The sequence below is a fragment of the Homo sapiens genome, chromosome 3 (assembly GCF_000001405.40).
Source record: "Homo sapiens chromosome 3, GRCh38.p14 Primary Assembly".
Lineage (NCBI taxonomy): Eukaryota > Metazoa > Chordata > Mammalia > Primates > Hominidae > Homo > Homo sapiens.
The window spans coordinates 111,206,971-111,218,482 of record NC_000003.12 but is presented as its reverse complement, the minus strand read 5'-3'; the positions used below and the strand labels follow the sequence as shown (position 1 = coordinate 111,218,482).

Here is an 11,512-nt window from a genome sequence, read left to right as displayed (position 1 = left end):
TTATGTGACTGTTTTCAAAGCAAATATGTGTACGGTCTTAGGTTAAAAGAAAGTAGTTAGGGTTAACTGACTATTATTTTGTTGTTTAATGAAGATCTCACAGGTAAATTTAATAAATATATCTAAAAACTAAAAATATGGAAAGCAAAATAAATTCAGATATTATTCATTTGCATTTCTTAGGGTAGAATAGTGAAAGGAATGCACTTTTGAGCTCAGATAGACACATATTCAAATATCCACTCTCTTTCTTAAATAGCCGCGTAGCCTTGGGCAAGTTACTTTACCTCTCTGAACATCACCTCTCTGAATCTGTTTCCTCACTTGTAAAACAGCAGTAACGAAAACTACCCCTCAAAGTTTCATGAGAAGTGACTCAAATGAGTGTTCAATGAATGCTCACTGAAGTATTTTCATTGAGATTTACTTGAGTAACAAAAGTTTTTGGATTGTTGTAAGAATTGGCCCAATTAACTTGCACACCATAGGTGCTCAATAAATGCCTGAGATGATCGAGATTTTTTTGGGTAACAGAGTGGAACCATTGAACAGGAACTACCTTCAATGCATGGTGTGTATGTATACTGGTTAAGAGTGCAGATCCTGAAGCAAGACTGCTAAGCTGTAAATACCAGCTCTGCAACCTCTTATTTATAGGCTTGGACAAGTTATTTCATCTCTCTATTCATCAGTGCCCTCATCTGTAAAGTCTGGATAATAATATCCTACTTACCTCATAAGAATTAAGTGACTTAATATAAACACAAATGTAAAGCGCTCAGGACAAACTAGGTTTGTAGCAAACACTGGGTAAGTATTGATTCTCAGTATTATTATTACTGTATATTGTTTAAAATGTATATTTCATAGCTTATATCTATCACTAGTCAACTATTTTCAAAGACCTTATTTTGTTTCATTTCCTATCTATCATTTAATAAAACTACTTTTTTTTCTACTGATTTATATTTTTAAATGCTTGGGTAATTCTAGCTCTCTCCCTTCCTTTCCTGCTTCATCAAGTCTTCCTGGGTGATTACATTTCAAACGAGAGAATCAATGACCTTTATGAATCTCTCAGGAAGTAGAGCAGGCTCTAAGATTCTATTGAATGTCTGATTTTTTTTTTCCTGGTAAGCCTTAAGGCTTGACATTCTCTAGGGTTCCTTCCCACATTAAAATTCTGTGGGGGAATTCCTTTCCACTCTTGGAGATGATTAGGGAGAAGGAAACAAGTTTATCTAAATCTCCATGGGAAATCAATGATTAAAATGGAACTAAGACATTGTTTCTCCCTCCTCTTCTTTAATGGTGACTCTATTAATATACTTCAAGGCCATTCTGTCACAATGGATTTAAAAAAGAAAACCTTTTATTTGGCTTTCCATTTTATAAAACAGAATATTCAATGGTTTTAAATAAGAACTTCTAGAACCTAGCATCACAGCAACTTTCTCCTTTGCAGTGAAAAAGGTGCCACTGCTATTCTCCAGCAGCAGGACAAGCATTTTGAGTGAAGTTTACCTTGGGGGGTGGATTTGCACTTTTCCTGAACACTCTTACATTCTGTCTCTCTATGTTCTGTCTCTCTATGTTCTGTCTCTTTTTGGTTGCCTCAGGCTAGGAACATGGGCTTTCTCCATAGCCAGGGCACAAGGCACAGCTGCCAGCCTACACCATCATCAAGCCCTGAGTTGGTTGCGACAGTTCTGTGCTTTATCGACCGGCTCAAAAACAGTATAAGTCAAAGGGAGTGGGGCGACAGCTCATCTCATTACATTTGGCTGAGAGCATCTTCATCTTCTAAAGTAAGGGGACCAAGATAAGAAACTATCTTTAAAAGAACATCCTGAGACGTTTCTCCTTCTTCCCTAAGAAAAATTCCTGAGTTCTCATTGTCTTTGAGATCCTGCGTCACATCACATCCATGAGATATTTGAATCTTCCTGGAATTCAAGAAAGAACAGTTCATACTTCGAAGATCAAGATCTTAGAGATAAAGGAGACCTTATAAAGAAGAGGGGGTACTTACCCACCCAGTGTGGTTCAAAAGCCTCTGGGAAGCCCCCTGAAGTTTCTCCCTCTCTGCCTACTCCATAGTTAGAATTGATTATTTAGATACTTGCTTCAAGTAATTTGTAATTTGAGATAAACTGTCTTTAGTTGACCTTTGAAAAAAAATGAAACTACCACTGATAAATAGGAGAGGATAGATGTAATTTTTAAAAATGGTCTTCAAATATATAGAGTGTTTTAAAAGCTTAGAAGTGAAAACACGAAAGCTCCTTTAGGAGTAGGGTTAGAGATGGCTGAAAGCCGCCAGCCTGCTAGTCCATAGGTGGTAAAGTAATTATGCACAAAGTTATCCAGGAGCAAGGGCATCAGAGGGAAGACTGCTGCCAAATTTAGGTTGGAGTAATTCAGCCTGAGTTGAGAGGGAATCCCGGGCAAGACTTCATGGATTCTCCAGGGCTTTCTCAGGACAGTCAGCCATAAGTACAGTGCTATAAGAAACAGAAGTGCTGGGACAGCTTGATTTCATGCATTTTTTTTAACTCAAAAGAAGCATTTTACTAAATATAACTAAATATGATCTAATTTGTATATTTTAAAGACTTTTCCAAGACAAATTGAGGAAAAGTATCCTTATTCCACATGTCCTGGTTTGAGGTTAGGAAAATATAGCCTTTATAGTAAAGAATGCATAATTCAGAGCTGAGCAACTCAGTGCCAAGGGAAAAGGACTGATGTTGGGCTACAAGCTGAGGCGAGTGTGGGAGTCCTAGGGGTAGAGGATGCCTCACCCAACTAGAATGTGGGAGAGAGGCAAGGAGCTCAAAGCTTGCCTGCAAGGCCTTCCAACTGGAGCAAGTCAGCTCCAACAGGGAGGAAGGGAGGATCCTGGAGCAGTGTTTTACACTATAGTTGCAGTGTGGCTCAACACACCAGACCACATGTGGGCCCAACTCTGAAGGCATCTGAGGTTTGCCTCCTTTCTTACTTGAGGACCTGACTCCTCCATCCAACTATCCATTCTCTTACTCTTCACACAAAAGACTCCAGGGCAGTTTTTCTAGGATTTTACTTAAAAAAGTTTGTTTCAGGGAAAATGAAATAACTTTAAAACAGTCAGAAGACACCTTTTGTTCTTGAAGTTCAAAATTACTTTCCGTCTTCCTGGGTATGTCTTGAGTCCATTTGCACTTCCTTTAGTGAGAAGCTCCACAGTTTATGCCATTTTCATATCCAGAGAGGGAGGACCTGATATAGTGAGCCTACTCTGTACACTTTTCTCTGGAACTCTAGCAAGAATCATGAGGACATGATGGTCAAAGTTAGCTGTTCAGTTTAAATTCCAGCACTCTTATTGCATGGGTGTGTTAGTCTGTTCTCACACTACTATAAAGACATACCTGAGACTGGGTAATTTACAAAGGAAAGAGGTTTAATTGACTCACATTTCTGCATGGCTAAGGAGGCCTCAGGAAACTTACAATCATGGCAGAAGGGGAAGCGAACACATCCTTCTTCACATGATGGCACGAAGGAGAAGTGCTGAGCAAAAGGGGGAAAAGCCCCTTATAAAACCATCAGATCTCATGAGAACTCACTATCACAAGAACAGCAGCATGGGGGTTACCACCCCTATGATTCAATTACTCCCACTGGATCCCTCTTATGACATGTGGGGATTATGGGATCTATAATTCAAGATGAGATTTGTGTGGGGACACAGCCAAACCATATCAATGGGTTCATCTCAACAAAGGCAATTTTATACCACTATGATTGTCATACTGAATCCCTTGAGAGTTTCCCTTTAACATGAAAAAATAAGAGTTACATACATAAGCTAAGAAGTTGAAAGGCTGTAATAACCTCAAGCAGTGTAATAAGAAAACTCACTGGAAGATGGACATTACTATTTTACTTGACTATTTCTCCTATCAACCACTGGAGGATCCATGACTCAACAGCTCCAGCAGCTAAAAATGCTTACATTGAATTCAAAGTCTAACTATCTATGTGTTTTTTAATTCTATTTTTGAGGTTATAAATGTAATACATGTTTATTACAGAAAATCTGAGAAAACATAGAAACATTAAAATAAAAATCTATTCTAACCCCATAAAGGAGTGCTGTTAATGTTTTAATGTAGTGACCTCAGCCTTATTTATAGAATATACACATACACAAACACATGAACACACTGTACCACTGTGACATAACCAACATCACAGAATATAGCATTTTGAATTTTACTGTTTTCACTTAATATTATCAACATTTCCCATGCTTTAAAATATTATTGGAAAACATTTCAATGGCTGCATAATGTTCCACAGTATAAATGTATCATTATATATTAACTTTTCCCTATTAATGAGTTTTTGTATTGTTTCTCGATATTTGCTATTTTAAATAATAATTTAATAAACATCTTGATACTTGAATCTTTGACTGTTTTGCTATATCCTTAGGGTAGGTTGCTAAGTGGGAAATTATTGGGTCAGAGAGTATGGGCTTTTCAGAAAAATGTGTTAGTTTATATTCCTAGAAGCAGTGTATGAGAGTTTATATTATCCCATTTTCAATACTGAATATTATAATTTAAAAATTCTTTATTACTACAAGGAGTGAAAAATGGACAATTCATTATTGTTTAAAGCTTTTTAGTTTTAAAGAGGTTTCCTTTTCATAGAGGAAAGAGTATAATTGAGTGTATAGCATATTTTCTTCAAACCATGTATAGTAGGCCTACCCATAGGGCTTCCCTTAAATATCATAAATGGAACCATTTGGTAGTAACTATGATACTCTCAGTGCAAAGCACACCCTCAGAGTTTCAAGAGAAACTTACCAGACTCTGAGAGTGTGCTTTGCAGAATCAACACATCAGAACGTCAGCTGCAAAAAAAAAGAAGATGGGGCAGTTCTTAAGCCCAGGGCATCACCATGGAAAGGCCAGACTGTAGTCAGAACTCCCGCTCTAGCAGGAGGACTTTGGACACTGAGAAAGAAGATGCTGGAAGATAGAAAATAGTCTTAGAAGATGTGGAAGGAATTGAAACAAACACTGTTTAGTAGCTCCTTTTGCTGAAGATGTTCCTATTGAGAAGAAAGCTTACGAAGTTTGCTGAAGTAGGCAGAAATCATCAAACACTCATATAGCAGTGGGTATCAGAGTGAGATGCTTGCTGGTAATGAAACAGGTCAGACCTACTATCTGGCGAGCCAGCCTCCTGTCAAGCAGCAGATGGTAGAAAGATGTCCATCGAGGAAGGCACAGCATGCCATCTGGAGGATAAGGTGGCAGCTCTTACCCAAGCAGAGAGCACTTAGCAGGGAGGAGTATCTTGAGTGATCCCTGATGGGTGTATATGACCCTAATAGGGCATGGAGAGCTAAATACACTGTCTGCCCAAATGTGAGTCTAGGTCAGGGTGTTTCAACATGCAAAAGCAGACCCTGAGCCCTTGTCTGTGGCTCACGAGAAGGACCAGCAAGGGTAAGGGGGACACTGGATAACCTGAAGATCTAGACAAGTTATCAGGTCAGGCCCTTGGGTCCAGGACATCCAAACAGTAGGCCAGTTACTAGTGTTCATGTCAAGCTACAGGCTGGCAGAAAATATCCTCAATATGTATGACATTGATTCAACACGTTCTACTGCCAAGGCCTGAGATTGGGCCCAGAGCCTGCAAATGGGTGGGGGATGAGAGGTCTCAGCTACGGTATCTGAGAAGACTGAGATGGCAAGACTTAGGACTGAGAAGACTGAATTGGCAGGGAGCCAGGAATGTCTTCAGAGAAAACAAGGATGCTGCTATCAAGGACACCCCAGAAGAAACTCAAAATATTGCATTTCATTGTCACCATTCGAGCTCCTGAAGAACTGCAAACTTCAAACGATAAAATAAATTTATGGGTGAGGAAAAAACAGGTATATTAGAAGAGGTCCAGGAGGGATTGAACAAAAACTGCAAATGTTTACTAGACGAAGAGGAATGAAATGACCAGCCAAAATGAAGTGTGCATTAATACCAGCAAGGGGGGATCAAAAGCAGGAGATGGATGGGTAGGGACACATTTTTTTTTAAAGCCTGCTAGTAAATCAAGAGCATGAGATTCATGATGACTTTAAAATGGCTAAGGTATTGAACTGATTTCCTTAATCTGTCTTTAATAAGGAAATGGAACCAAACAGCCATTTCAATTAGGTGGTAATGTAGAGTTTGCAAAAATGTCCACAGCTGGTAAGGAAACCTGGAGCCTGTATAAATATGCAGCTCAGCAGATGTTGATGAGATTCATCCTTGAAAATGATGCCTGCAAATAACCCACACAAAGCAGAAAAGGGGCAGCCAGAGTGGGAGAGAGCAGGAAGAATGGGGAAGGAATGAGAAAGGCAGCCAGCTATTTGGCACCTAGAGGAGTGCCACACAGGGTGCTGGAGGAGATAGGTATTATGTATGTGAAATCTATAGGATATCTTCACTACAGTCCTAGAAGGCAGGCATTAAAGTGTGTTACAATCCCAGGAAATACTCATTTGGAGAAGTAGTTCAGAACACAGGTAAGGAATTGTAGGTGGCAGTTAGCATCACCATGTTTTTCCATGTGTCTTTAATATATTCAATAGGTTGCCAGGTCACTATGACAAAGCTTAGTTTTGAACACTCTATGTTAGATTTTGTGCTTTCTAGCAAACACTTGCCAAACACATATTACATGTCTCATCTTTGTGGAGTGGATAAAGAATGCAAAAGTACATATCCAGTCCCAGCCTTTGTGAGCTTATGAACTTATGGAAGCACTAAATAATAAATCAGCAAATAGTGCAAAATGATGTAAGCCAAGCCAAACTGTGAGCATGTGAGGTGCAGGTTCACAGAGCCAAGCCAAAGAACGAAGGTGCTCACACTGGCTTTCAACATTAGAGAAGACACAGAGCAGGTGGCACTTGAAATAGGCTTTCAGGATGGAAAGATCTAGGCAAAAAAGAGAGGGCGGGCTTTTCTTGCAGAGGTTAGATTAGCAGGTAGTATGTGTGGGGGAGGGAGGAATAAAACAAATGGACTGGAATAGAGAGCTCATGCTGGGAAGTGGAAGGGGACCAAGTAGAAAGGAAGACTGCCAAGCTGCAAAAGGAGTACTAGAAAAAACAACAGAACATGATTTGGTCAGCAAGGAGTTATTTGGTGTTCTGGAGTAGGAAAGCAACATGAGAAAAGTGGATTTTTAGGAAGACTGAATCAGCCCTTGGGAGGCAGAAAGGATTAGAGCATGGATTGTTAGGAGGGTATGCCTTCAAAGTAAACTCTTCCCTTTTCCTGCTGCCATTGTGATCTAAATTACCACAGTCTCAGCTAAATGCTTGAACTGGTCTCTTAACTGGACTCCCTGCCGCTGTCACTTCCACCTTTGGTCAATTTCAACAGGGCAGCCAGAGTGATCCTGTTAAAGTATAAGTAGATTACATCATTCCTCTGTTAAGAACCCTCCAATAGCTCCTCTCGCACTCAAGGAGAAGCCCAAGTCCATACAATGCCCCTCAAAGGAGTACCTAATCCAGCTCCCACCTCCCATTCCTTCCCAGACCTCATCTGCTATTTGTCCCCTCAGTCCTTGCCATTCTTCAAATATGGTGGGCATAGCCCTGCTGCAGGACTTTTGCACTTGCTGCTCTGCTTAGATAATTCATAATTCTTCCCTCGAATGCAGGACTCCTACCCCTCTATCAGGTCTTCATTTAAAGATCAACTCATCAGTGAGGCCTGTCCTGACCTCCCACCCCCATTCCCAATCTAAAACTGTTTCCCCTTCCCTTGTTTTTTGCACTTATTACTCTCTGGCACCCTCCCATGAGTTTAAAAACTCCATAATCCATGGAATGACATATGCATGTGGTTACTCATATATATATATATATATATATATATATTTCATTAAACTGTTTACTGTCTCTTCCCTCCACTGCCCCCCTGAGGCAGAGATTGTTGTTTGTTTTGTTCGTTGCCATATTCTCAGTACCTAGACAGGAACTTTGCAGGCATTCAATCACATTTATTGAATTGATGGAGGAATGAATGCAGGAAAATCACAGTAAGGTGAGAATGGTTGCAGATATAAAGTGGATGAGAGCTGAAGAATGGAGGCAAGGGAGGTAACTACAGAGAGACTGCATAAAGATGCCAGAGCCTTTGAATGACTGTAGGAAGAATTAAGAAAATGCATGTCTCTTCAGCAGAAGCACTACCATTGCTCAACATGTCTGATGGGCTGATAAGGCCAGAGTTTTATGAAGGGGAATCATCTCTGAAGCATGATAAACATCTGAATGAGACCCATTAAGTGACTTGCTATATGAATAAATCTCAACTTTTTCTTTTCAGGATATTCCTAATGAGGTTTTGAAACACATACTTTCCCCCATTCTATCTTTAATTCTGCTTGATATCACTGCACAAGCACTCATTTTAATACTAGTTAGAATTCTAAAATCAATACTAGTATGTTTTCACTTTGAGAGCTCATTTTTAAGGTAGCATTTTGAGGCTTTTTATTACAAGTATTATAATTCATTGTTTTACAATTAGAAATGTCAAGGAACCTCACATATGTGGAACTTGAAAATAAAACAAATACATATATGAGATGAGTAATATGAAGGAAAGGAAAATGAATGTGAGAGTGAAAAATATTGAGAATAAAACTAAGAATGGATGGGGCCAATTATTTTTCCTAAAGTGCTGTTATAAACAAACATTTGTGGGACTGGAATTGAGGTTAGATCGATGCAAGACAAAGCAAATGGGATGGGGGCAGGGGAAAGTGTGCTCTGAGATGGAAGGAGAGGACCTAGGGGGAGGCTCTGCATCAAATGCTTAACATCCTATTGGCATCTTCTGTCAATATATGGTCCATATGGCCTAAAGACAGACTGGGAAGCTTAGAGGGCCTGACAAATTAAGAGAAGGGGTAGGGATGGAGGTACCAGCATGACGGCATCCTTTACGTATGTGAAGCAGGGTTTTAATCAGTCCATACACTTAGGTGTGCAGGAAATATCATATCTCTTTATTTTCTCCCACTAAACTTCTTCTAAATCCATGCCCCCATACAAGAAAGTGAGCTGGAAATCCAAAGCTATTCTTGCAGCAATGTTCTTATGCTTACCTTTTCTATTTCAGGATTGTGCCAGAGTCCTGGGATCCCACACAGCATGGTGGTGGGGTGTCAATTGGAAATTACTGCTCAGACAGCTGGGTGTCAGCCCATGTGTCTCTTTAGGCCGACCACTGTGTAGTTTCCTGGCCGGGGACTAGAACACAGGACAGCCCAGCCTTCTATATTTACTCAGTAACCTCTCCCTCTGAGGCTCTGCTACATACACAGGGAAATAGGGAAATATGAGACAACATGCTTGTCTATATTTCTTGTGAGACCTTTTATTTAGTTCCAGAGAAATTGTTTTCTCTTCAAACTCTATTTTCAGGACAATGGCTTTAAGATCGGGGGAAATTAAGAAAGGAATGGGACAAATATCTCCTAAGAGGAAACATAAAAGGGGGAACAGGTAGGGAGAAAACATAAGTTAATAAATTAAATGTCATTTTGCCGTTTATAGAACCTCCCTATCCTGTAAATAAATTAATAGTAGCCCAACAGAATGAAAGTAGCTCCAACCTCCTTGAATTCCTCTCCTGGTGTGGTAGACATGGAAATGCGCTGGCCACATCCCCCTTCAAGGGAAGACTTGTTGCTCCTCCTCTCAGCCCTTCCTGTGGTAGCTCACATCCAGACTGAGGGAGGCAGAGGTATCAAAGTCTGGCTATTTCAGCCCAATATGGAACAACTCAGATGGGCCACACCTGCTCCAGAACTCATTGCTGGGGTGGATCAGGGCTTCATGGACCTGTACCAGTTCTTCTGTCTCTCTGCCTAATCTTGCCTCCTGACCCTCCCTTCCACAATTGTTTATCCGTAGAAAAATATCCTTTGTGCCACACTCCATTTCCACATCTGCTACTTGAGAACTCAACCTAAAAACATTTAAGAGTGGCCCTAGAAAATAACTAAAATGATGGGATTTTGGAGCCAAATCCCTACCCACCTAACAGGCAATGAGGACCTAATCGGTGATAGATAAAATACAGCCATCCCTTGGCACTAATTGACAGTCCAGTGGGTGGTCAAATGGAATAGTATGTCCACAGAAGAGAATGCACTAGCAGGTGAGATTTATCAGGTGTACGAGAAGTGAGGGGGAAATAGTAACTCTAAGGACAATGGGATTACATGAGTATTGCTGAGGGCCATTGATATCCTCGATAATAAAAAGATGCAGGCAATAGGCAACTGAGAGCTAAATATGTAAGCCATGAGATTTCCCTGGTAGTTTTCAGAGAGGTGTTCATTTCCTACAGCAGGAGGGTAGAGGAGCTGAGGGTCGAGCTCAGAGCTAAAGATAGTACTGATTTCTAGATACAGTTAAATGCCCAACTATGGCAGAACTGTTACTCCAGCCATGGTTGGGGAAAAACAGGACCCTGACACTCGGGATAGGAACATCTAGGACGATTCCCTGAAAATGCTGAATCTTAAGGTGATGAACTCTCTTGGTTTTCCAGTGACAGGGGAGTTTCCTGTGATGTGGGGTTTTCAGTGCTAAAACTGAGGCAGTACTGGGCAAACTGGGGCTGTTGTTCACTCTACAATGCCTCTGAATTCTTTGAGCCTGGAGAAGTGGCCTATCCTCCGTACTTAAAGCTAGCATTTCCTTCTTGCTTAAAAACAATGCTCTCTCTTTCCTCCAAGACAGCACATACCCCGCTCTCAATATCCGCCCCCCACCCCCCGACCTCTCCTCCTGCCTACTAGGTGTATAAGTAGGATTAATTCATAATCAGCCCAGGACACGCTGAGCCTGATAAGGGAAAAAAGGCACTCTATTCCAAAGAAGCTGCAAGTCCTAGCCAATATATACTGGCAGATGTCAGGGCAGTACCAGCGGGACTAGATTTTGAGGCTGCTTGACCAAGAGGAGTTGGAACATAAGATTGGAGAAGGGAAAGTTTATTGATTTGGGAACACTCTCCAGAGACACAGGATTTACACCTTGGCAAGGCCCCCAGGAAATGGTGTCACCTTGCTACTAGGATGGCTCCTAGCAGCATGGAAAAGGCAATGGCCCATACTAAGCAAAGATGGAGTGCCAGAATTTCCCTGGCAGATGGAAGAATGGCTTAAAAGGCTCAGGGAAGTGGATATATTAGACTGGAAGTATTATATATTTATGTGAGGCCCCAATACCCTCCAAAGGACTATGTTTCACAGAAAGGCACAGAGGACACACCATTTACTAAGGCCATGAGGAATACACAGGTGAGGGGATTCAGCCTCACTAAAATGTTAAGCAATGAGGAAAGGATCTCAAATGGATAACAGCAGTGATGATAGGACCCCAATATAAGAGGCCAGGTAATGATGTGTAACTGCCTGAAGCAA

The 11,512-nt window shown here is 40.8% G+C and overlaps 1 annotated feature.

Moving 5' to 3' along the window:
• Positions 7,040-7,670: an enhancer, noted in NCBI's record as "OCT4-NANOG hESC enhancer chr3:110929660-110930290 (GRCh37/hg19 assembly coordinates)". NCBI's record gives its function as "activates a minimal SCP1, AML or CMV promoter by ChIP-STARR-seq in primed H9 embryonic stem cells {active_cell/tissue: H9 hESC(primed)}" and the evidence as "EXISTENCE:reporter gene assay evidence [ECO:0000049][PMID:30033119]".